We start from the raw sequence: 26,275 nt of genomic DNA, 5'->3' as shown, positions 1-26,275 counted from the left end.
TGAGGAGGGGGTCAAGTGTTCAAACATGTCTTAGGGCTCAATCCTACGACGGTGGGGTATGATTTTCAGAGAAAGGAGATTAAATTGTTGAGGACAGACAACCCCAAAGATGTATTACTTGTATGTTAATAATGAATTCCAGTGAAAACCTTAAGGACATGTTTAGAGATCTTTTCTGGTTCCATTTTCTTTTCCTTGCTAGACCAGTTTGGTAGGTTTTAAGCATGGTTGTTGACCAATTGATTAATCAGAGGTATGACCCATGAGAAAATAAAAGAAACCTGTGAGAAAGTTTGATAATGGTATGATTTGGCTCTCTGGACCTTAAGGATGTAATTTGTCCTTGAAAACAAGTTAAGGTATATTTGTCTTGCAGAGCTTTTGTAGCAAATCAACACAAACTAGGTGGCTTAAAACAACAGAAATGTATTCTCTCACAGATCTGGAGGGCAGAGATCTGCAATCAAGGTTTTAGCAGGACCTGGCGCTCCCTCAGAGGTTTCCAGGAGAGAATCCTTCCTTGCTTCTTCCAGCTTCTGGAGGCTCCCAATGTTCCTTGGCTCATGGCTGCCCCACTCCCATCTGTGCTTCTGTCCTCACATGGCCTTCTTCTCTCCGTCAGCCTCTCCTCTTTGGGTCTTTGATAAGGACGCTTGTCTTTGGATTTAGGGTTTACCTATATAATTGAGGATGATCTCATGTCCACATTCTTAATTATATTTGCAAAGATCCTTTCTCCAAATAAAGTTAGATTCAGGGTTTGGGGATGTGGACATATCTTTGGGAGGCCTCCATTCAACCTGCTACATAAGGTGAAAATGGACTGACCAGTGGGGCCTTCTTGCAGTTTGTTCTTGCCGTGCCCATATCTCGCTCAGGGCAGGGCAGCTGCACTGGTGTAACTGAAATTTGGAACCCTTTTCCTGGGGCAGGCCTGGATGGTGGAGAGGACACAGTTGGCTCAGCTTAGAGCAGCAGGGACATGTAGGCTGGTCACAGGCCCCAGGCTGGTCCTTTCTGGCTGTACACATCCTCCACATTTTCATCAGTGTGTCTTACGGATATTTTCCCCCCTGTATTTGCTATGTCCTGAATACAAGATTGAGAAGCGTTGGTTAGGAAGCCACTTCATTTTATTCTCCCTCTTCTTTATAGTCTATTTGATCTTTCCTTGAATTCATTTTTGAAATGTCTTCTAGTTGCAATTGTTAGTTGTTGACTGAATAAGACACCCTTAAATTTTCCTTCCAGTGGTTTCTTTTAGTCTGCTATAGAGAAGAGCTATAGTGCCAATGGGTGGGAGTTCTCAGGAAGGAAAGTCTGGTTTGATGTCATAAAGAAGATTTTAATCACTAGGGCTGGCCAACGATGAAGCAGGCTGCCACATAAAGCCCTGAGCACTCCATTGCAAGTGGGAAAATAGATGCGGCAGATCATCCACCAGGGGTATTGTCGAAGGAGTAGTCCATCAGTGGAGGGGGTGGACATGCAACCTCTAAGGGGCTCTAATTGGTATTCTTCTGAACAATCATCTGATACGGGTATGGATACAGAATGTGATCGGTTCAGACTGCGAGGTGGGAAAGATTTGGCTTTTACTTTCCAGGAATTTTAAACAGGAGGTTTGGATTATATTGGCTTTTCCTGCACATAAAGACTGCTAAATTTAAACAGTTTGCCATTTAAGAGCTGGGCGATAGGAGATGACTTTAGAAGCTATGGAAACTAAAAAGAGCTCACTCTAATCAGGAACAAAAGGGAAGAAACTTTTCACAGACGTTTAGAATGTCTGGACCAAGAGATCCGGCTCCTTCAGTCAACAGCTTAGAGTGCTTATATTTTAATCCTTATTTCTATTTTATTTCTCTGTCTTATAAATTTAAGGAACATCTTACTAGGTTTTTCTCTGACAATACTTTGAATGTTCTCCTGTAATATCGATTATCACATTATATTCTAATTTATTCAGTATTCTACGTTCCCCATCTCTAATCCTTAGCACAATGCCTGGCACATAGTAGGCCCTCATGAAATGTTTGTTATTAAAACGTTGTGAAAAAATCAATCCTGGAAGAACAAAGGGGACTGTATATGCTTAACAGTGCATCATAACACTGACTTCTTAAATGAGATCTGTAGACAGAATTTACCCGTGCATTTCTCTCTATTTTTTGAAGGATAGAGTTTCTTGATTTTTCTAATAGACTGAATTAGGAAGCATAAATGAATCAGAAGCTTTTGTTGTGTGTGTGGTAGACTCACTTCTATAATGTAATGCCATGTCTCACTGGAGTCACCCTGAACTTCAAGGACTAGATAGGGTCAGCACAAATTGCCCTCTTTTGGCTAAAGTGTAGGCTGAGAGAACCTAGCAGTTGGCTAGGTCAACTCCTCACTCCCTTCATAATATTTTTCGGCAGTAAAATCAGGTAGATGGAGGTATTATCCTTTATAGTACTGGGGATGGTATAACAATTATTATTATTGTTCTTATTTGTCAAAATGTTATACTCAGAACTTAACAGAAGTCATTTTGAAGAGCGGAGATTAGAATTGGCAACATGGTATTTTTCAACTGCCATGCATCTCATGCAGAAAAAGTTCTTTACTGGGCAGAGTCACCAAAGCCTGGCTTTCTAGACAATTTTGTAGCTGTGCTTTGAACTTTCTTTGATGGGTTCTTGCTAACTATTTTGAAACTCTCTTCCAGGATGCAATCCTTTTTTGAAAGATAATAGCAGGACACAAGATAAAGGCTCGTTTCAGATGGTTCATCTAAATCTTATTCAGTGACTCTCAACTATGAAAATAATCATAAGAAAATTCATTTTACTACAAGATACCATGTATGTTTTTAAAAAGTAGAGTGTAGGACTCACTGTAGTAAACAACATTGAGTTCTATTTTTGAATCTCACTATTCCAGCCAATTTGCACATTGTCTTCTTACCCAGCTCCCTGATGCCTGTAGGCACCAGCTTTCAAGGCCGAACATTATCCACAGTTTGCCCCCTAGATTATGGAAGACTTTAGCCTCAGAAAGGAATCTCTGTTGTGAGATAGGAATCATAGAATCACTGCACAAAGCATTGTTTGCTTTCTCTCCACCCAGTATCCTTATCATCCTGAATAGCGTCCTGCACAACCCCACCCTCCTCGCTACATAGAACATTTGGGAAAGGATGCTAGGATGACTGGTCTTGAAGTGAAGTGCTGGCCTTGTTTCCCTGTCTTTAAACCAACCCATCTCCTATCTGGAGTACTAAACATGCAAGGTTTCACACAGGTCTCAGATACAGCCCCGCATGAGTAAAGTATTAAAATGCTTAAACAACTCAAGAGTGAAGGAGTGAGGCTGCTTCTTGGCGTCCATCCAAGTGGTCGTCGATTTGTGCGCAAATCCATGGAGGCCTTTTCAGGGAGCCATCACTTCTGTCCATGTGTGAGCTGTTTCTGACTCTGAGATGCTCTCTGCTCAGACCTCAGAAGCATTATACTCCCAGTGTAGTGTTTTTGTCAAATGTCTACTCTTATTCCTAATATTCAGACAGACATATGTTGCCTACAGAGACTTCTCCAGGGAATAAATCTCCCTTGTCCCCCTTCCCACCCCCATTTCCCCACCAGTATTCATTTTTCTGATTAAGCAGATTCAGTGACATATGAACAAAAAGGAAGGTGACACTGCTTGGAATATGAGAATTCTCAGGGAAATGGGCCATAGAATTCATGAGTGATGGGACTTTTCCTATACAAAAATAGCATCTGTTATGTTGTAGTATAATGACCTATTTGCACTTGTGTCTGATTTACCTGATGAAGAACTTCTGTAGGGTAGGAAGCATGCCTCATTCATCTTGTACCTCTGATGCCAACCAAACATCCAGCATCCAATATCCAAACTACAATAATTCAACTTCTGCATAGGGGTGAACAGCATTACTAGAAGAGAGCATAGTGAACTGAATGGTGGCTACCCCCAAAAGACATGTCCAGATCTTTACCCCCAGAATCTGTGAGTGTGGCCTTATTTGGGAAGTGGGTCTTTGTAGAGATAACTAAGTTAAGGACCTCAAGATGAGTTTACTCTGGATTATCTGGATGGGCTCTGAATCCAATGACAACTGTCCTTAAAGAGACAGAAGAGGAGAACACTCAGAGAGAAGAGGAGAGGACCATGTGAAGATGGAAGCAGCGATTGGAATGGTGCAGCCACAAGCCAAGGAACACCTTGGGCCACCAGAAGCTTGAAGAGGCAGGAAGAACTCTCCCCAGGGTCTTCCAAGGGAGCATGGTCCTGCCAACACCTTGATTTCAGACTTTGGACCTCCAGAACTGTGAAGGAGCACATTTCTATTGTTTTTAAGCCCCCAAATTTATGGTAGTTTATTATAGTAGCTACAGGAAACTAGTACAGGGGGTGACTTGCCCTTGAGAACAGCCATTAAAACTAACACACAGAGCTTGGCTCATGGCATTGAAAAGAAGAGACCAAGAAAAAGGCTAGTTGAAGGACTCTGGTTGGCAGAGCACAGGTAACGTGGACTGAATTGTTAAAAGAGGCCAGAAGGGGTGGATCTTGAGTTCCAGGAGCCTTGAAGAGCTGAAAGAAGTTTCAACCTAGGCTGAAGAAATGGAGTAACAGGAGCTTATAATTCACCAGACTGCATGCATGATTTAGATCTGGAGCACGCACTGCAGTATGCAGTTGAGTTGACCAGAAAAATACTTGAAGGCTTTGCCAATGGGGAGAGAGAAGCACCTTGGAGAAAAATGGGGTTTGGGTAGCGGGAGGATGGCCATTTCTCAAGCCAGGCCTTTGAGAAACTATTTTGCCAGTATCAGGGGCTAAAAGAAAAGGATCCAGGCATGGAAGGATTTTACTCCCAAGTAAGCAATGAAAATAAGCCAGTTTGGGGGCTGGGCGCAGTGGCTCATGCCTGTAATCCCAGCACTTTGGGAGGCCGAGGAGGGCTGATCACGAGGTCAGGACATCAAGACCATCCTGGCCAACATGGCGAAACCCCATCTCTACTAAAAATACAACAATTAGCTGGGCGTGGTGGTGGGCACCTGTAATCTCAGCTACTTGGGAGGTTGAGCCAGGAGAATGGCTTGAACCCAGGAGGCAGAGGTTACAGTGAGCCAAGATCATGCTACTGCACTCCAGCCTGGTGACATAGGAAGACTCTGTCTCAAAAAAAAAAGAAAAAAAAAAAAAAGACCAGTTTGGCCCGTCTGTTCCTGGCGTGTCCTGTGCTGCTCCAGCCTGAGGACCCTCTGCCTCACAGGGACTCAGTCCTCATGCACACAGATGGGGTGGGGGAGCTGATAGCACTGTGAGGAGCCAAGCATCCTCCTTCAGAGATGAGAGTGGCAGGGATGTCAGAGACGTCCTCAGCACCAGGGCCAAGTTGGAGAGAGCAGACTGTGTTTTGTTATGAGAAGATAAATGTAAGACACTGGAATTCCCAGCAGTGTGAAGGAGCGGAATGTACGCTGAATCCACTGCCAGGAGACCTGGGCTATTGCTCCAGCTCCATGATGTAGCAGCTGGATTACTTTGCAGGAGTAACGTATCTTCTTTTTTTTTTTTTTTTTTTTTTGAGACAGAGTCTTACTATGTCACCCAGGCTGGAGTGCAGTGGCGCTATCACGGCTCACTGCAACCTCTGCCTCCCAGGTTCAAGTGATTCTCCTGCCTCAGCCTCCCAAGTAGCTGGGAGTACAGGGGCGTGCCACCGCACCAGGCTAATTTTTTGTATTTTTAGTAGAGATGGGGTTTCACCGTGTTAGCCAGGATGGTCTCGGTCTCCTGACCTCATGATCCCCCCACCTTGGCCTCCCAAAGTGCTGAGATTACAGGTGTGAGCCACCATGTCGGGCCCATAACTTCTTTGTCTTTCCTGCAAGGAGCTTGGGGAGATCACTTCCAAGGTCTCTATAACCCTAAGAGTCTACATTCGCTGCCTGGCTATTGAATGAAATGGATTCAGCCGTGGAAGTGTCTTCTTGCTAAGTCACTCAAACCAATATGGAAAGTTTTCTGATATACACCATCCTCCCCACCACCAAAAGCAAAACAAAATAAAATATCATATGATATATAGGAAAAGTATATTCCTAAGAAAGGACTACATGATTATAGCATGGCTTGAGGTGGGAAGTCAATGAATGAATGTTGAATGATAAACGGATAAGGGTTGATTCATCTTTTTGCCAAAAATATAATATAGTCATACAGAGTATGTTCTTAGGAAAAGGACTACATGATCATAACATGACACAATGAGAACATTGAATGGATGAATGTTAAATAAATGGGTGAGGGATTTAAAAGGATTTTTTAAAAAAACATAGAATGCTTCATGAATTTGCATGTCATCCATGTGCAGGCCCTATGCTAATCTCTGTTTCATTCCAATTTTAGTACATATGCTGCCAAAGTGAGCACTGTAAAAGGATCTTAAGGATTTTTGCTAAGTAATACACCAAGTCTTATTTCTGCCAGTTATCTGTATCATGACATTTAATTTGTTTAGCTCTACCTATCCTTTTATTTTTAATTTTTTGAGACAGAGTCTTGCTCTGTCACCCAGACTGGAGTGCAGTGGCGCAATCTTGACTCACTGCAGCCTCCACCTCCCGGGTTAAAGTGATTCCTCTGCCTCGGCCTCCCGAGTAGCTGGGACTACAGGCACCTGCCACCACACCGGGCGCAAAGTTTTGTATTTTTAGTAGAGACAGGGTTTCGCCATGTTGGCCAGGCTAGTCTCAAACTCCTGACCTCAGGTGATCTGCTCGCCTCAGCCTCCCAAAGTGCTGGGATTACAGGTGTGATCTTACTCTTTAAGTGAGAAGTGACTTGTACGTGACACCCATATCAACTCTTCCCTCTTGGTGCCCTGAATCAGCTAGACAGTCTTTGGCTACATTGGTGGTCAGTAAGTGTTGATGACTCATTGAGCATGGATTTCTCTCACCTGTACTTTGGACTATACAGAAAACCAAAGATAAAGGGCTGTCTTGAATCTATTCAGGGTCCTTGTGTTTTGCTCTTCAATGCTTACCACCTTCTTTTCTTGGACAAGGGTGCCACCTGACCTTACTATTCATGCCTTGTTGACTGACTTCATCAAAAGAGTTGTAACAAACTGTTTTTAAACTGTTCTTATTTGTGGGGTAAAACATCTTTATTCCACTTGTAAGAACAAACAAAAATTATGGCACTATGCACGTTATAATGGAGATGACTGGCATTCTCTTAAAAGAAATAGGCTACAAAACAGAGAGAGCTCAAAATGATGGCAGGAGGCCAGGCCAGGTAGCACTGAAAATCCCTATCTCCCTGGCCTGCAGTGTGACACTGCCTGGTAGGAGGTGATCTGGAGCCAGGTGTGCCATGCTGTGACTGTAGCCAGTGTAATTTCTGTGGAAAAGTCTCAACTATCACATTAACAGGCCATTTAACAGACGCTGTAACCACCCTGACGCTGGGGTGTTGGTCCAATTTATCCTCCTGTGGCTGAGTGTGCGTTCAGATTTAATGAATTGGTTGAATTCATTTGGTGATCGGTTTTGGCAGGCTTCTTCTCCCTATCTCCTTGGTTTCCCCCTCCATGCCCTCCGTCACCACTGAGCCCTATTGGAGGGACACCTGTTATTGAAGACACTGCCTAATTATGTGCAGGACAAATACACACCCACATGCACATGCACTTTCATTACACTCCTGGAAAAACAAAAGCAAAGACAAGAAAATATTGCTTTTGGCTAAGTGAGATGAGGCTTTCATTGCTCCAAATTCTGTGAGTTTGGATAATGAGCAGGAAACAACCACAGTTCACATATTCCGAAGCCATGAGGATATTTACCTCCTGTTTGGACGGGTGGATACATATTTGGGTCAAGGAAATCTATGTAGAGGACAAAAGAGCTTGAAAATTCATTCATTCATTTACCCATTCACCCATTCATCCATTCATTCACTTGTCTTAAAAGTCCCAGATACTCTGGGTGTCTGGAGATGTTGAATAATAGCTTCTGCCTTTCCTCCCTCCACCCTCTCCCTTTTTCATACAATTTAAAGAATGACACACATGAGCACAGAAGTAATTTTAACAACACGAGAAATGGCTATTGTTGAGGAGCAAACCAAATATCATCAGGGCACAGAAGGATCACCATGTAACTGCCTGTAGATGGCCAGGAAACCTTTTGAAGGAGATGATAATTGATCTGAGTCATAAAGAATAAAGAGGAGTTTGTCTATCTGGGTATAAATTAACCTGGCTTTCTGTCATTTGTCTGTCTTTCTGATTTCCCATCAGCTTGTTGAGGGCAGAAGCTGTGTGATTGGCTTCTTTATGCAGTGGGAACCTGGCCCAGTGCCTTGTGTATGGGAACCACTTGCCATATTTTAGCTGAGTGAACAAATCTATAAATGACAAGTACTGAGATTCTTTATGGAGTGCACATTGACTAGTCATGGTCAAGATCTCCTTTTGGATTCAGGTGACAGCAGGAAGGTTTGTGCTGGAAAATTTACAGGGTACACAAGGACTGGGAGGCCTAGATGCTGTCTAGGTGGGCCTGGACACCTAGAAGGTGACCCCAGGACTGACCATGGGTACAGAGTCAACTAACTGTTGCACTCTACCTCTGGATAAGAGAAGATCACCACTGCTTCACTCCTCTGGTTGGGGTGGTGGACTCCCAGCTGCAAGACTCTGCCTAAGGGGTGCTTCGTGAGGAAGCTCCTTGGAAGTCCTGCCTCTCTCTAGGTCCTGGACGGCATGTGGGTGACCAGGGATTGACCACACTGAGTGTGATATGGATCAGAAGGATAGAAAAGGCAGCAACAACAAGTGATTGTCTCTTCCTAAGTTTTCCTGTCTTTTGTTGCCCTTTTATCTGCAGAGCATGGTCTAATAAACAGAGAAGGCTCAGGAGGGTCAGAAACACGGTGCCTCATTTCTCAGCCTACTTGCCAAGAATTCCCAAAAAGGAAGCACTGGAGGATCATTCCAAGGCTTGAGGTAATCAGATCTTTCCAGAACTTGAATTAGGTGGCTTGGGAGATTAAGACATTGAAACAAAAAGAGCCCAGTCTAGGAATCAGAAACCATTCTTTCTGGTTCGAGCCCTAGTTTATTGACTGGTGAATGACCTGCAGCAAGTTATTTAACTTCTCTGGAATATAGTTTTCTCCTGTTTCCAAAATCTAGCACTCAAAATCATTTATACATTTTGATTTATCAGGCACTCAACATATATACTCAATGTCTATGTGTAGCAAATACAGTTTCCCAAGTAGAAATAAAGAATACTGTTTTTCAAAAGCCGTGGGGCTTATGAATATTTTTGTAGACTGCACGTTATCTGCAACCATTCTTACATTTAACTGTGTCTCTGGAAAGTGAGTTCTTTCTAAAGGGATAGAGGTACTAAATGGTGATATTCTATAGCTAATGTGGAAAAATTTATCACAGCACTGTGTGATTTGTTCCAGGGACTACCTTTCCCAAAACAGAGAAGCCAGTAGCCTAGATGTCTGATCTAGAGATGACAGACATCAGCTCCTTTATTCATTAGCTGGTACATTTTATCATACAATCGGATTTTGAATTAAATTACAAATAGGAACTTATAACATTGGGATTAAAGTAATGTTGATTAATTTAATTTATACTAAGGTGTAGATGACTGATACTACAGCCTATCCTCAGGGTATATTTTAAGTAATGATAAGGAAAAAAAGCAAAACAGGAAAAGTGATGGGAACTCCAAGGGTGGTGGCAAGGTTATAGGAAGAGGGTTAAGGACATGGCAAGGAGAGAATGAATTTTCCAAGGATAAACTTCTTTTTTACTTCCTGCTTTTTTCCTAAGGTCAGACAGAAACCAGCAGTATGGGATCCAATTTCAGAAAATGTCACAGTCTCCTTGCTTTATGACCCAGGCTAATTTTCAAGACCTCAAAAATCAGATAAAGCTGCCAAAGTCGCTCTTGAGGGATTTTATGAAACTAACATTCTTTTCTCCTTTCACATCATGCATTTTTTTGGTGACTATAAAACACACCTTAATCGTAGAACATTTAGATACCACAGCAAAGCATAAAGGAGAAAAAGCCATCCTCAATTCCACCATCTTTAATATCATAGTGCATTATGTTTTAAAGGCAAAAGGGAGTTTTCAGGCCTGCATCATGGCAGTTTAAAGCGAGGAGGTAGCAAAGCCACCACAGCAAAAACAGAGGCAGGGCCTGGGCATGTTATGTCAGCAGAACTTGGGACCAGTTTTTTTTTTGGAGGGGGAGTAAAACTACATTGTATACTCTCAATGAGATGTGTGTGTCTATATGATGGAGGGGGCTTGGCATGTTCGGTTACCACTTTTTCCATCTTATATTCTTAGTAACTAGGTTACCTGAAGAGTCCATTTGCCACATTCAAATCAGAACTGATTTTTAAATTAGTTGACGACTGTGTAGGTAACACAGATCAGAGAAATTCTGTGCATATACGTGGCACTGTTTGAGTGTGTGTGTGTGATTGTGTGCGTGTGTGTGTGTGTGCACATTCTTGTACCTGCCTAGAGGTCAAGTAACCAAATTTGGAATGGAGTGGGTTGAGAAAAACTTCTCTGTTTTCCTGCCTGTTCCCATCACTATGACTTGCAAATGAAGCCTTTCTTCACGAAGTAAGTCAGGTTGTGGGCGAGAGATTCAGAAGACTGGAGAGAGTTTTTCTGCACTGCCTGCTCAGCACCAGAGAAACCGGAGGACCCTTGGCTGTGCCCACAGCGGGAAAAGCCCAGGCTCCAGGTGAGGCCTCGCTTCCCCCTGGGTGGTTTGAAGAAGGGGCCGATGGCGATCATAAATATCATTTGCTGACACGGAGTCCTGGGGCTGCGCTGACCACAGGAGTCGCGGTCCCCAGGATGCAGGAACTGCTCACAAAGCAGGCATTTATGAACTGGTTGGCTTTGCATTAATTAATTCCCCATTCACCAACAGTAACAATCCCTTCAATGAGTGTCCAGGCCCTGGAAAGCCCTGGTGTTGATTGGAAGTGACAAGTGCATCGCAAAGTGTGACTGTGTTAATATGGAACAGCGCAAAGGGACCTGGAGCCCCTCTCCTGTCCCGCGCCTTCCTTCCCGTGTCATTTTTGAGGAAGAAAGAGGACTTGGCTTCTTAAGGAGTGTTTAATTTGGTTTTTCCTCTTTGGTGGTTCGCTTGTCAGCTGCTGTTTTCTCATCTGCTTCTTCTCCGGGATGGGTTAGTTCTGATGTAGTGAGTTCTGTCATGAGTCCATGGAGTGTCGCAAGGCCATCGAAGGGCCAAGAGCCCTGACAGGTCACAGGGGGCTGATAAGCCAGGGCTGATATACACACACACACATACGCACACACACACACACACAAACGGATATGGACTCTCTGGGGAGGCTGGGCAAAGCCTGGCAAATTCGCTCATTGTTAAGAATTTGGGAACCAACAAGAGACTTGGAGTTCCACAGGTCTTAGTAAAAGCTGAAATGGCAGGGAAATTGTAGAAAGTGGAGCTGATTGTCAATTCCCGAAGGCCAGGAAAACATCTCTTCTTTAACAGGCAGCTCTGTGCCATGTGCTTGCAGGCTCTAAATAAACGTTTGTTGGCTGGCTGACTGGCAGTGGGTTAGACACTTGCCCCTGTGATCCTCCAGCTTGTTTAATTGCCAGTTATTTGGCTTCTTTCTTTCCAGTTGTCTTACTAGTTTGCCAGTTTCTGTGTCAGTTGCTGGTTCTAAGGACGCATGCACTTATCTGGCTGGGCCATTTTAGGTTTTGCTACCTATTTACACATTGGCCAAATCTTTCTTAGTTGATACGGTCCTTTATTACTTTTGAAGATTTTCCGGTTTGTTTCATTCTGTGTTTTTGCTTGCACTTTTAGGAAGTAGATTTAAAAGACTTCATTCACCCTTTTCTAGGTATACACTGTGCTAGAAGATACCAAAATGATTAAGAAAGATCTCCCTCTTACCACTAGAAAAGAGGATTAAACATAAGCACATTCACAAATAACTGTAAGGCAGGATTAAGACAGGCCAGCGCTGAAAGAGACATATAAATAAGGGTGATGGGGCTTCCAAGGAAAGCACATCACAGCTGCCAGATCAGTCAACAAGGGCTTCCTTGGGCATCTGCAATGGGTCAGGAAAGATGGTCAGGGTTTTGTCATGTAAAGGGGGCATTCTTATCAAAGGGAATGGGAAACATCCGAGGCTGTGTGTTCTGGGAAGGAGTGAAGAGTACACTTTGGGGTAAAGCATAGATTTGGGCAGGAGAAGTGGGAGGGACCAGGGATTGAGGACTTTGTCAGCAAGGGTGAGATGTCTGCAGTAATTTTTGCAGACATGCAAACCAGTTGGGAGATGTTTATTTGGGTAAGTGTGGGTGGGACTAGGGTGAGTCACGTGAGGGGCCTAGGGCACAAAACTTAAGGAGACTTGCTCTCAGGTGCCACCTCTGCCTTTGCAGGATCCTGAGTCAGGTCTTCTTACTGCGCTCCCAGCTTGGTCTGGGAGTGGGCTGACCAGTGAGCAGCAGTTTTGCATATTCGCAAGATTGCTGCGAAAGCTCTGCATAGGAGGGATTGGAGACGGTGGGCGCTGTGTGAGACCGTGCAAATAGAGTTAATAGAGACAGAAAAGATGTGCAACCTGGATGGTGTGAATGGTGTGCTCCTGTAAAACAGTCAACACAGGCCAGGGACAATTCCACATGCTTTTCACATGTTAATTAATTTCCTGATGAAAGATAAAGCTTCTAGCCAGGAGTCCAGACAGCTGAGTTCTAGTCTAGCTCTGCTCTAAAGAGTCCTGGGAGCCCCTGTGGCCTCAGCTTTTTGACCTGTGAAATGACCGAGTAACAGACCATTTCATAGGTCCCTGAGAGCTCTAGAATCTCACGTCACTCATGACGTATGTTAATATCAGCTGGCCTCGAAAGAGAACCCGAGCCTTGGGGACCCCAATCTTGGATCTACAAGATCTCTCAGACCAGAAGCCCTGGGGGGTAAATCCCTCCATCCAGAATCTTGTCTTTCATCGATTCAGTGTGAACTACTTCTCAAATTTCTACATTTCTGGTCCCCCTTAAACACTGACATTCCAGTCAGTCTGATGTTAAATTCTGCTTTCCCCTTTCCACCTTGTGTTACCTACCACCACAGCCTGGCCCACATTTTTCTACCCCTCCCTCCTTCTGTCATTAACAAAACTCCCCAGACCCTTGCAAAGCCCCTACAGCAGAATTATCCCAAGAGAGAAACAGTGGATTTAATAAGCTTCCCCTTAGATGGCCCCAAATCCCTTCCAGTTGATTAGGGGAAAAAACAACTACACACAGGACAGTTTCCTGATGCGGGAGGTGAGAGAGAGAAAGAATAAAGAAAGTTCCTGAAGTCCTGGGCCTCAGGGACCAAATTAAGAAAGCAGCACCACTTATTCAAAATCAGATGAATGTCAGTGGGATGTTTGTCAAACAAACTTGTCATTATTTGTCACAATTTGAGGAAGTATCAGTCAATAGTCACACTCGAGCGCATAACAGAGTTATTTATAGCTGCCAGTCTAGAGTTTTAACTCATGCAGGGCCAAGGTTCGATGTTATAAACAGCTTTGTTTATAATGACTGCGTGGCTATAAATAGTTTGGTTCCCCGGGTGTCACAGAGCAGCCCCGGGATGGGCTGCCAAAACCAGCGCCAGGAAGCAGGCTGCAGCAGGGAGGTGAATCCTGGTGGTGGTTTTTTTTCTTCTCCGAGTACCCTTTCTGTGAGTCCTTGGCCAGAGTATTTCATGTTGTTCCTCAGTGTCCCTTTTGGAACGGGGAGTCGGGCTCCCTGGTGTTCCTGGGAGATGGTGGAAGTTACTCACTTAATGAATTAACATCTGCCCCAAGATCTGCTGTTGAAAGGGAGCCAGTATGGGGAGCACCGCCTCTTTTGTGCCTATTCACGGACAATGAGCTAATTACAGTCTCTCTCCTGCTGGAGGGTGGAGGGAGATATCCTGTTATTCCAGTGAACAGGCAAAGCTCTAAAGGTTTATTTACAGCTTCAGATTTAATTTGAACGACAGCAGCATCTCTTCTAAAAATACGAGGTTGTCAGAAATTTAGAAATTTACTAGTTTCTTGTGTCAGCAGAACCTTATCTAAGGAGTGGGAAGTTGGGGGATTTGTGGGGAGCAGAAAAGAGGAAGGGGAATATGTATACATAAATTTTACATGTAAAATACATAGGTATGTCAGCTTAAAAACTGATCATTTTACCAATTGGCACAGGGGCAGTATTCTCAACATCTTCCTGACAACCTCCAACCCCACCCTCCAAAAATGCAAATCTATTTGTCATATGGAAATTTCTTGATCGACTCTTTCCATGTCACGCTCAAAATCCTTACAGTCAATTTTAATACTATTAAGCTAAATCTTCTTTTGCTTTCTTTTTTTTTTTTTTTTAAGAAAAGGTGTGGCCATGAAAAAAAATTTATTGGATCTTAATTTGCAAGATTAGTTCTGGTTCATTTTATTGCAGTAATTTAATACTCATAATGATTTTCTGATGCATATGTTTTAGCAGCAAGATCTACTTCCTATTCATTTTTCATTTCAATGCAACTGACGTATATTAGGCAGCATGGTACAGATCTAAGGGAGCAGCACCCCGTGAGAAACTGACATCATTCTGCCATCTTGGCATCCTCCCAGACATGTGTTGAGCCCCAAGAAGCCTGCACCCAGGTATATCCAGGGATTCAGGACCGAAGGTGATAAGCAAGAAATCCTTCTTTAAAAAGGAGTTACCTGTTTTTCATGGATAGGATTATTAACATCATTACCATTATCATCATTACTGCAATTCTGGCTAAGGGAGCTGTGAGTTGCATCCTATTTGAATGTCTCCCACTGGATGGGAAGGAAGCAATGAGGGCCTCCTAAGTAAACCAACAATCACACTGCAGGGAAGGTGAATCATGGACTCCAATACCCAATGCCACAGGACTCTGACCCAGGTACTAGGGAGGGCATCCTGGAGGAGGTGGCCTCCGCATTGAATCCTACAGGAGGTTCCTTAGGGTGGTAATTGTGCCTTTTTGTTTCTGTACAGACACCTGCTGGCATAGTAGGCACATGGTACATCTTTGTAGAGAGAGTTAATGAAGGTGTATTCTTTTTAGGAAGTTGACAGTCCCTCTGGAACTCTATGTCATACATTAGCAATACATAAAAATAAACATGAATTTAAATGGTTAAAAATGAAAAATAAGAGAGAGGAGAGAGATATTTGTGGAGTGTGTGTGCTGGAGTAGAATGAGGACCCCCCATCTGATTGGTGCTCTGGAATTCCTAAACAAAACAATCAACTCCCTATTGGGAGTCGGCCCTTGCATGGCAAGAGTGTGCAAGGCCAAGGTGTAGGAAATGAAATGGAGCAATGAGCATGTTGAAGTGAATTGATCCGAGTGGAGTGACAGGCATCGTCAGCATTTCCTCTCTGTTTATTTTTACATGAGGCTTTACCCATACGTGAGGCCAAGACCTCATCCGTTGTGGGTTCCAATTCTGTGTTCATGAAGGAGGTGGCATTAAGCTAAAAGGAAGAGGATAAGTACAAGGAGATGGACATTATATCAAGTTTCTCCCTTAGTCTTTCAGTTCTTCTCAAATACTTTTTCTTGTGGTTATACTTAGTTTCATGATTATTTCTACCATTTTTAAAAGAGAGATTCTCAATGTTTATTTTAAAACAAAAAGGACAGATGTTTTTCCACATTGTTATTGGGTGAAGGGGGAATTTTAATATTCACATTATCAAGCATCTGATTTCAGAGAAGATTCTTAGAATCGGAAATCTGTTTGCCCAGTCACTCATAGCTCCCATCTCAGAGATATTATGACGATATATCCTTGACCTAAATGTTCCCATTTAAAGGAAAAGGAACAGAACAATAAATTTTGCAGCATAACATGTAAATCTGATGACGGCTTATGCTTAATATTTTTGTTTATTTCTGTTTCTAAGAATTTTCCTCAATGCCGAGTACCAGCTGAGGAGGATGTGGTATAAATGTATTAAGCAGCTTAGGGTCTCTGGCCACTAATTCTTAGGATTGTAGCTTTTTAGAGCTTCAGGAAACAATTAGAATTTTCTACTTTAGTTCTCTCTTTTTTACAAATGTGGAAGCTGAGCCATTTGACTTCTAAGAGACAGAGTTGGGATAGAACAAATGTCTCTTGGCTCTTAGAAAAGATAACTAATATTTGTTAGACACAAATAGTTGTGCCCTTTACAAAGGTGCAGTGTGGTGGTTAAGGATGAGGGCTCTGGGGCCAGACAAGCCTAGGTTTGTATGTTGGCTCTGTCACTATTTGTGAGGCAGTGAAATGTTACTTCTCTTCTTTAAGCCTCAGCTTTCTTCATCCATAAAATGGAAACACTAATGACACAACAACAGAGGCATTGGAACGACTGAATGAGATAAAGCAGGTCAAGTACTTTGCGATTGTTCCTGACACATGGGACATCTTTAACATGTGACACAAACCACAGTGAAAACAAAACCAAAAAGCAAAACAACCACCCCACAGCTAGGCTTTTTGTTCTTTCAGCCTGGTAGGATCTGTACAGAGATGTTACTGGTGAAGCTTCTTTCTTCTTCACGTCCTTTTGTACATGTTTATTTCCATGGGGGTGGAGAAGCCCTCTGAGAGAGAAACACACGAGTCCCATTCACCATTAGGCTTTGGGTACAGTGACAGATCTGATGGATGGGTGGGTAGCGATGGGGAACAGGGAGGGGAGGTCCTGGTGAGTCATCACTATGAGCAAGAGGGGTTCTGATATGCTTAGCTGGCCCAGAGGGGGAGGGTCTGGGCAGTGAACCCCACTTTGTAGCCCAGCCTTCACCTGCTGGGGGTGCAGCTTTGCTCTGGGCATTGCTTTGATCAGCAATTGGAACTCAAGGTGGATGAGAGCTCCGTGAAAGGGACTGCTATACTGTCTGGCCCTGAGGACTCAGATGGTTGGGACCCCACCCCTGGGATGAGAACACGGGCAGCAGGGGCACAGGTTGGCAGCTTTGAGGACCTGAAACTTATTGGAGAGAGTTATTTATTTCTGTAAATACCTGGATCTCTTGTAAGTCAAGCAAGTGGGGACTTAGGCCACTAGAATTTGGAACAGTTGTCTTAATCACACAAGCCACGTGATTTCACTCATATCCTGGGAAATATTATTTGCACATAAAATTATCCCATTTAATCCCTCAGTAGCCTTGCAAAGTTTTTATGGTATTTTGCATATCAGGAAAATGGAGGCTCAGAGAGATGTAAATCACACTTAAGGTCACAGATATCAAAATAAAGCCTAGAATGAAAACAAATATCATTGGTTTTATAGTCTATATCCTGTCCTTGTCCATTGACCCAGCTGAATTTTACTTTTAATGCATTTTCCTTCCACCTCCTACCTTCTTTGGTTTGTGAATGGAGAGGTAGCCGTGACTTCCTGTGGCTGAGCCACTTCCTGTGGCTGAGGGAAGCAGCAGGCTGTCTGGTTACCTGAGCCAGGTCTGGGGCCAGGCAGCATGCATTCTAGTCCTGCCTGGGACACTCACTGGCCTCAAGATCTTGGGCAAAACAGCTGACTGCTTTGCACCTCAGTTTCCTCATCTGTAAGGTAAGGTGTATTAGGATTCTCCAGAGAAACAGAACCAACAGGTTGGGGGTGGGGGGTGGGGTGGAGAGAGAGAATGAGAGAGGGAGAGAAAAAAGAAGAAGAGAAGAGAAAAGAGACGAGAAGAGAAAAGAAAAAGAAGAACTAGAGAAGGAGAAGGAGGAGAAGAAGATTTATTTTAAGAAACTGGCTCAAGCGATTGTGGAGACTAGCAAGTCCAAAACGTTCAGGGCAGGCTGGAGACCCAGGGAGGAGTTGATGGCGTTCCAGTGGGAAGGTATTCTGAAGCAGGTTCTCTCTTCCCCAGGGGACCTCAGTCATTTCTCTTAAGGCCTTCCACTGACTGGATGAGGCCCACCCACATTATTCAGGGTAACCTGCTTTGCTCAAAGACTACGGATGTAAATGTTAATCTCATCTAAAAATTACCTGCACAGCAATACCTACACTGGTGTTTGACCAAATATCTGGGTCCCATGGCCTAGCTAAGTTGGTGCATCAGATTAACCGTGGGGCTAATGAGATGTACTACATAAGGTTGCTTTGTGGGTTAAGTGAGCTGATATAGGTGAAGAATTTAGAACTGTGTCAGGTACAGATAAATTCTTGATAAGTGTTATCCATCATTCCTTCCAAAAGGAATCATTCATTCCCAGGGCAGACTCTCCCTCTGTGGCTTGGACATGTCATCCTGGCCACTGGGTCCATGCCCCTGAAGTCAGCAGGCTTTGCTTCTCTTCCATTTACTTCTTGTGGCTGCGAAGAGTCTCTGTGCCTTGAGTGTGGCAGCCTGTGTCTGGGAGGAGAGCGAGCTTTCCTGGTGCCCACATCAGTGAGGACACTAGGTGCTGCCTCTTAGTAAAGGCCCAACAGGGGAGATGCTGCAAGGAGATGTCTGGGGATGGAATTCTCCTGAGAGGATCTCTGTTGTTGCTTATACTCGCGGCAAGAAGCAAACACATCGCTCTTTCATCTTGGCAGGATGTGCTGCTGCTGCCAGCCTGTCTGCCCCGCCCCTGGATCGCCCCCACCCCCCCGACTCAGGTGGATGGCCCTTCAGCAAATGCCTTTCTTGGAAAAAAAAGGAGAACTGCACCCCTTGCCGCCCACCTCCTTTTCAGTTCAAAACTCTGCTCTATCTCCTTTGCCCAGCCACACCTTTCGTGGCCCTTCCTACCTGACAAAGGGAGATACCTTTGAGAGTCAGGCCTGCATTGCGAGCTGAGCGAATGTTCTTTTTGGAAACAAAGGAGTGTTCTTTTGGCTTTGGTTGATGAAAGCAGGTGGATTAAGAACTAGGATAAATGCAAAATATCCTGGAGGACAATGGGGAAGGAAAGCTGCGGGAAGGAGACATGGAAAGGAGGGTGGAATGGGAGATGGGAAGGGGCTGGCAGGACCAGGGAAAGGGTAAACCACGCTTTCATCTTGGAGTCTGATCTGTTTCTGAACTCTGAAGAGTAAGGCCATGAATTTTAAAAGGTGTCTCTGCAGTATCTCTGCAGCTGACAGCTCCAGTCACAGAACCAGCCCTCTCTGAAGCTCAGGAGTGCCACAGGAGGCTGAGCCCAGGGAGTCTGGAGACCAGGAGGCTGGGGGAGCCCAGCTGGCCCTTGTCAGGAAGCAGGATCACTCACAACTCCAACGCACTGGCCTGGGCAGGCTTCTGGCTGCACTTGGACGTGGCTGGGGCTGAGTATCCCCTGGCAGCTCCTGGAGGTGTCCACAGGGATGGTATCAGCAGATAACTTTCTGAGCAGGTCTCAAGGCACTGCTGGATGTGCTTGTCAATGACAAAGTCACGCAGACACCTGCTGCAGTCCCTGTTCACCTGTGCTGACTGCTGAGAGGACAGCAGGCCTCCCGGGGACTGGCTGTTTTCTCAACAGGGTTTTGAGAAAGGTCCTCTTCTAGAAAGGGCTGGGGGACCCTGCTTTGAGAGCTGCTCCCAGAGGGGGAAGCCAGGTAGTTCCAAAGGTCCTGGAGGAGGCTCAGAGTCTGCAAGTCACCCAGTAGAGGGAGGGATGTGAAGGTGGCCTGCTGAGTGCTCTGGGCTGGAAAAGTGGCAGTGAGTATTGTCCTTGGAGCCCTGGGAGAAGTGTCAGTGCATCTTACTTTATGAGAAATGCATGCTCTTGAGAAATGGAATGTGGACATTTAAAAAATATGTATTGTTATATCTTTATCAATATGTCTGATTTTTTTTCGAAACCCTGGAGTATCGCAATCATGACTTCTCTGTTTGTGAATTGAGCATCAGGAATATTGAGTTTTCTAAAAGCAGGGATATTGGTAATGGAAGCAAATGGACACTTCTGGAGCTGTCAGGTAGCCCAGAGCAGGACCCCAACAGCCACCAATGACACAGCTCCTTAGCTCGCTGGCTGAGCCAGGAAAACAGAGGTAGTAGCCCTGGGCAGAGGGACGCCACACACAGCCAATCCTGTGGAGACACTGGGAGGCATCTGGAAGCCCCACAAGAACCTACCCCTCCTCAGCTCTGTGTCCTGCCTAGTTACATCCTCAGAATTGTGAGGTACCCCTCCAGCAGCTGGAGGCCTGTGGAGGGGACTCGCCGTGTCTCAGCTTTGGGACTCCTGAGCCCCCGTTACAAAGGAGACTCTTTTTAGAGGGTGTGTGGGGCAAAATACCTTCTTCCTCATTTATTAAAAATTGTTCATTGGAGTAAAATATACATAACATAAAATTTACCATTCTAACCATTTAAAATGTACATTTCAGTGACATTGAGCGCATTCATAACCTTGTGCAACCATCACCACCATCCAGCTCTGGGTATTTTTTCATCATCCCTAACTGAAACTCCATACCTATGAAACACCAACTCCTCATTCTCTTCTTCCCCCAGCCCCTGGAAACCACCATTCCACGTTCTGTCTCTAGAAATATATGACCACTCTAGGTATCTCACATAAGTGCAGTCACACAGTATTTGTCCTTCTGTGTCTGGCTTATTTCACCTAGCGTGATGTCTTTAAGGTATATCTATGTTGCAGCATATATCAGATGTTATTTATTTATCTTTTTATTATGGTAAAAATATCATAAGATGTATCATTTTAAGCATTCATAAGCATTCATAAAGGCACAGTTCAGTAGCATTAAATCCATTCACAATGCTGGGTAACCATCACCGCTGTCTGTCTGTCTATCTATCTATCTATCTATCTATCTATCTATCTATCTATCTATAACTTTTTCATCATCCCCAATAGAAACTCTGTACCCATTAAACAACAAGTCCCTATTCCCGTCACCTCTCAGTCTCTGGTAACCTCTATTCTGTTCTATCTCTGTATGAATTGGTCTATTGCTATGGACCTCATATAAGTGGAATCATCCATTATCTCCCACCTTTTGAGCACAGATTAGATTAGAACACAGATTTTCAAAGTCTTCTCAAAGAGACAGAAGGCCAGCACCTAGTGGAACTTAAGGGTTGCACATGGCTATGTTGGGGGTTTTCCAGCCTGCATCAGGAAAACAGAACAGGGAGCATCCCAAAGCAGCCTGGACAGGACCCCCTGGGCTTCAGAGGGAAGGTGCTCTGAGAGGGATAGCCTGGCAGGTACATCCAGCCACCGAGGGAGGCCCTGAGAGACTCACATCACAGTGCTCCCCGCGTTTGGATTCCAGCCTCAGTGAGCACCCTTCCGAAAATCTGCCTGTGCAGAGAAAGCATAGGACAGGGCTTTTCTTGATGGCTTGGCACTTATGCTTGTCTTGGCAACAGAGAGGAATGGCCAAAACGTAAATGGAGAAGTGGTTCCTGAGTTTGAAAAATGGCTCTGCCATTTACAATATGTGAGACCTGGAGCTCAGCTTCCACTTCTGAAAAATGAGGATGAGAAGAGTCACCATCTCATAGGTATGGGTAGGCATGAGAAACAAGGAAAAGCACACATAATGCAGAAAAGTGTCCTGCTGAATGCCTGACCCACAGTAAGTCTTCAGCCGTGATCATAATCGTAATGTTAATTCATTGTGTTGTTAACATATCAGTTTCTTATAAGTTTTGCTAGCATGGCTCACTATCCTCAAGTCCAAACAGTTTTAAGACATTGAAATTGAGTTTGGGAAATGCATGCCCCAGGGTCAGGCATTTCTGTGAATTTGCTGGGGTGGATAACCAACCACTTGTGCATCTTGAGAAATCAGTGGTTTGTCTCCCCGGTGACATCTTGATCTCACCGCTCATTTTCCTTCCTAAGCATTGATAGAAATAAAGAATTGAGAAGTGTGAGCTCATTTTTGGGTAATAAATCTTAAACTGCATCCTTATTTTAGTTTATCGTATTGCACAAACCGTACATTGGTGGATGGGAGACCTAGTCAAAAAGGTGTAGACGGAACAATTTTATATCTCCCCAGACGGCCAAGTTCACAGTGATGGGATCCATAGTAAAGCATGCAGTGGGTCTTCGAAGCCCTGCGATTTGAACATGGGTCCCCCATCCCGCACATCTGCCCTGGGTGGCTTCAGGGATTCTGCTCAGGGCAGTAGCTGCTGCCGTTACCTCTGCTGGTGGGATCCGGGCAGTGGTCTTCATGGTCTCAGGAGGCAGTTCTCAGGAGGGGTTACCCACGGCAAGGGTTCAGATATACTCATATGGGGGCAGTCTCTTTGCAGTTTCAGAACCCTGACCCTTTAATACCTGGCCTTTGGAGTAGAAGCCCACCCACTGCTTCTATTTCCCCCAGCCTTAGGGTGGATTCTCTCTCAAAAGCTTCCTGATTCCTTTGTGCCACCTCACTCAGGTTATCCGTAGATTTTTATTCACGGCAAATCTCAAAGCCAGAGCCCTGGGGGCTTGGTCCCTCTCCCCTCAGGTGGCCCCTCTGCTCCTGTGTGCATTTGCTCAACCCCCAGGCTCCATTTAGCAGTGGGCGTGTCAGGGCCGGCGGTGAGCGCCCATCTGCCCACCGATCCCAGTTGGGTGGATTAATTAATGATTATAGAGGACTTTGAAGGTTGCAGGGCTAATTATTTAGCCAGTTCCCTCCCTTCCCCCAAGTCCCCTCGACGGCCTTTTGTCTCTTTCTCTCATGGGGTGTCCTTTGAAGTGAATAGGAGAAGATGAATCAGGGGTCAGTTATTAGGGCTGGCCATTACAGATGGCTGGCTGGAGAGTCCCGTCTGGACGCTGCTCCGCTGCAGGAGCTGAGTTTCTCCACGGAGCCCAGCAGCACGGTGGAGCTTTCTTTCTATCAGAACTGGCCCAGGTTCCCAGGACACTGTGGCTTCCCAGTCTCCCAGCTGGGCACATCAAACAGCAGGTCTTCATTGGCTGTGGTGTAGCCTGGTGCCCTTGTGCTTCTGTGGCTTTTTCTCCCAAGCTGGACGTGAAATCCTTTACTTATGAATTCATTCTCTCCTCTCTCTCTTATTACTCTTTCCCGGAGCATGGCCCCATAGGAATAACATGTGAGTTCTGCTCCCATTTCCAGGTTACTTCCAGGTTGCAGAGAACTAATTCTAAGCCGTGTCATGGGAGCAGTGAGTTTAGGCTGCCTTGCAGAGCAAGAAGACCATAGGGTATCTCTGCCTTTTCTTTCTCCCCACAAACTAAGATATTGAAATAAAGTAGATTCTTCTATTATTGTAAATTCTGGAATTGTGTATACTTTTTTAGTCAGGAAAATCTAAGTATAAAATAAATATTATAGTTAGTAGGATTACGCTTCCAATATTTCCTGCCTGAGCTCAGGAGTGGGTCCTCTGTGTATCTGTGTACGTATGAAAGGGGAGACGTCTGTGGCTGAAAAATCCTGAGTTACATTAATTCATGCATTTGTTCGTACACATCTGTCACATTTACTGAGAAGCTACTTGATTGTAGAGGTGTTAGAGAGATAAAGCAGAGACACCACTCATTTCTAAAGCTATTTCCAGTCCAGTAGGGAGAAGAGTATAAAAACGTATCAATATGGCAGAATAATCTTTTGAGTTATTGTTTTGTAATTTGCTCTATTTTTACGTTCCCCGTGACCAACAGGTAGACAGGCCCTTTGCCTGTCCTTGCTTCAGGATATTTTCAGGGCTGAAAACAAGCTGCTTGAAGTCAAAGGCTTTTGTAGAAGTCCCAAGCTCTTTGAAAAAAATGATGTCAGCAGGCTCTGAGGGCAGCAGGATGCAAGAGAGGTGACTCCCGGGGCACGAGGCTGAGCATGAAGGCTTTGAGGGTGACCAAGGAAGGGAGGGAGGAGGACAGAAAGGTGAGGCCTCTTGGAAAGGTCTCAAAGGTGTGGGTGTAGCAGCCCTGGAGAGGCTGGGGAGGCACTGGGGGTTCCAGCTTCACCCCAGACTCCCTAGACGTGAACCTGAGGCAGAGAGGCCACTGGCCCTGAGGCCCATGTGGGCTGGGACCATGCCGGACTCTGGGGACCAGAAAGGACTGACAATGGCCAGCGAGTGGAGGGGGCTTTCCAGCTCTTTGGTGATCTGCACAGTTCCCCTGGGCCAGTAGGCTTGTTAATGATGGTGCAGGGATGTCTGCTGCCCCAGAAGGTTGGGAGATCAGAGTGGGATCTAAGATTGTTTAAAATAAAAATAATATGGAAAAGTGTACTCTGATATTATACCCATGACACAACTCTGACACAATTTAAAAGGGGAGGTGGTGGAGATATAGTCAAATTCCTAGAGATAGAAAGTAGACTGGTGGTTTCCAGGGGCTGGGGGAAGGGGGCACTGGGGGTTAGAGTTTGGTGGGTGCAGAGTTTCCATGTGGCAAGATGCAAAGAGTTCTGGAGATGGCATAATGATGGGAATGTACTTATCTTAGAGAACTGCATACTCAACAACAGCTACGATGGTTAGTTTTATGCCATGTGTATTTTATCATGACTCACAAGCCATAGAATTTGGCCCCAAGGGTGCCAGGAGCAAAGATGGAGGTAGATCTAAGTCAGCTTGGGGACAGTCATGGAGGGCTTCACTGGCAGGTGCCAAGTGACTGAGACCCAAAGGATGGGCTGGCAGGAAAGAGGTGGAGGGGGTGTGGAAACAGAGGGTGGGACTGGGGCGGTCGGAAGGGAGCAAGGGAAAGATGAGCACACACATACACACATATGTGTGCTTTCACACTTACATCCACCTGCTCACACACCCAGCCAGCAGAGCACCCTGGGTGCATCTGGACAGCATGGCTAGAGTTTAGAACATTAGGTGGGATGGCGAGTAGAGGGGAGGGATCAGCCTGGTTTAGATTTTATCTGGTAGGTGATGGGAACCATTGAGTATTCTTGGTGGCGGCTGAGGGATGGTGACATAATCAGATGGGTGTTCCCACAGGATCACCCTGGCACCTGTGCGGAAGATGGGTTTGAGTCCAGAGGCCGAGCCCCGCCTGGGACTGTGCCTGCAGAAGAGGAACAGCTTCTGCCTGTCTCAGAAGCCCCCTGCTCTCCCAGCTCCCTGGGAGCATGAGAGTTAGCATCACCTGTCTCCTTCCCAGACCCCAGGGGCAGCTCGGCCATCTGTGGCACATCATCTCTGTGTGCTTGACCATTCTGTTGTTTTGAGAATCTCTGCTCTTATCTCATAGCCCTAATGGGGAGAAAGAGTGAGCATCACACACAGATCTTTCCCCAAGCATTGCCATTCATCCATGCCCCCCATCCCCGTTCTATTTCTTTTATGAGCAGAGATTCATTTCTATGCCCTGAAACCTACCCTTCCAAGGGCCGTCTATTGCTGTTTATGGAGGCACAATAGTGCTTCTGTGGGCTGGGCAGACTTGAAGACCTCACTGCCTCGGTTTGAAGTCCAGCTCTGACAAGTTATTTAAACTTTGTTATCATATCTCTCAAACCAGGATGTTGATAGTATCATCTCACTGGGCTGTTATGAGGATTCAATGAATTTATCTTTTAAAAGCACTTAGAATGACATCTGGCACAGAGTTGATGCTGTGTTTATTAACTAAACGTCTACTCCAAAAAGTAATGATGGGGATTACATGGGACGCTGTTCCTGAGGGGCTTGGCGTGGCACCTAGAATACAGTAAGCACGCAATACATATTAACTGTTGCTATTACTGTTAAGATGTTTAGAATTGTGCTGGAATATGACATGTGCGAGATGAGATGAAAGGAGATAAGATTGGTTTGGGTAGGGGTGTTGAATTCATGCAGATGCTTTTGAGGAAACTAAAGCAGCCCCCACAGCCCTCTTGGTGGTCTCCGTCCAGTCTCTCTGACATCCCATCTGTCTCCACACTGCTGCTGCTGCAGATGCCTTCCTGACGAGCAGTGGATCTAGTCAGTCAACTCCCTGACTTACTTAGAAACCTGGCAGTGATCCTTGTTACACGGGTTGAACATTGCCCCGGCAAAAGATGCATTGAAGTCCTAACCCCGAGTAGCTCAGCATGTGGCCTTATTTGGAAATAGTCTTTGCCGATGCAATCAGTGAAGATGAGGTCCTATCAGGGAGGGTGGGACTCTGATCCAATAGGAAGGTCCTTATAGGAGGAAGGCCATGTGAAGACACAGGCCCGGGGAGAGGCCACAGGAAGGTGGAG

The 26,275-nt window shown here is 45.1% G+C and overlaps 1 long non-coding RNA gene and 1 pseudogene across 4 annotated transcripts in view, besides 3 other annotated features; one reads left to right on the top strand and one right to left on the bottom strand.

The window, feature by feature from the left end:
- The window catches only part of LOC101928354 (uncharacterized), a 131,186-nt gene that overhangs the window by 64,502 nt on the left and 40,409 nt on the right, over window positions 1-26,275 (top strand). The window contains exons 2-3 of one of the 4 annotated variants that reach the window (XR_001743992.2): window positions 8,919-9,037; window positions 10,689-10,826. This is a non-coding gene — a long non-coding RNA (uncharacterized LOC101928354). Of the gene's footprint in view, window positions 1-1,435; window positions 1,542-8,918; window positions 9,038-10,688; window positions 10,827-17,603; window positions 17,732-26,275 lie in introns of those variants that run through there. The other 3 variants (XR_007059472.1, XR_241980.4, XR_926516.3) reach the window with 3 other exon arrangements.
- On the bottom strand, window positions 6,350-6,453 carry RNU6-793P (RNA, U6 small nuclear 793, pseudogene; annotated as a pseudogene).
- Window positions 12,299-13,282: an enhancer, noted in NCBI's record as "OCT4-NANOG-H3K27ac hESC enhancer chr6:14639937-14640920 (GRCh37/hg19 assembly coordinates)". NCBI's record gives its function as "activates a minimal SCP1, AML or CMV promoter by ChIP-STARR-seq in naive H9 embryonic stem cells {active_cell/tissue: H9 hESC(naive)}" and the evidence as "EXISTENCE:reporter gene assay evidence [ECO:0000049][PMID:30033119]".
- Window positions 12,496-12,790: a silencer, noted in NCBI's record as "tiled region #8489; HepG2 Repressive non-DNase unmatched - State 22:ReprW, and K562 Repressive non-DNase unmatched - State 7:EnhWF". NCBI's record gives its function as "represses a minimal TATA promoter and a strong SV40 promoter by Sharpr-MPRA in HepG2 and K562 cells {active_cell/tissue: HepG2 | K562}" and the evidence as "EXISTENCE:reporter gene assay evidence [ECO:0000049][PMID:27701403]".
- Window positions 16,350-16,449: an enhancer, noted in NCBI's record as "active region_24051". NCBI's record gives its function as "activates an Ori minimal core promoter by ATAC-STARR-seq in GM12878 lymphoblastoid cells {active_cell/tissue: GM12878}" and the evidence as "EXISTENCE:reporter gene assay evidence [ECO:0000049][PMID:35858748]".

Source organism: Homo sapiens, chromosome 6, assembly GCF_000001405.40.
Source record: "Homo sapiens chromosome 6, GRCh38.p14 Primary Assembly".
Lineage (NCBI taxonomy): Eukaryota > Metazoa > Chordata > Mammalia > Primates > Hominidae > Homo > Homo sapiens.
The sequence above is the reverse complement of the archived record's forward strand: the minus strand, read 5'-3'. Positions and strand labels throughout refer to the sequence as shown.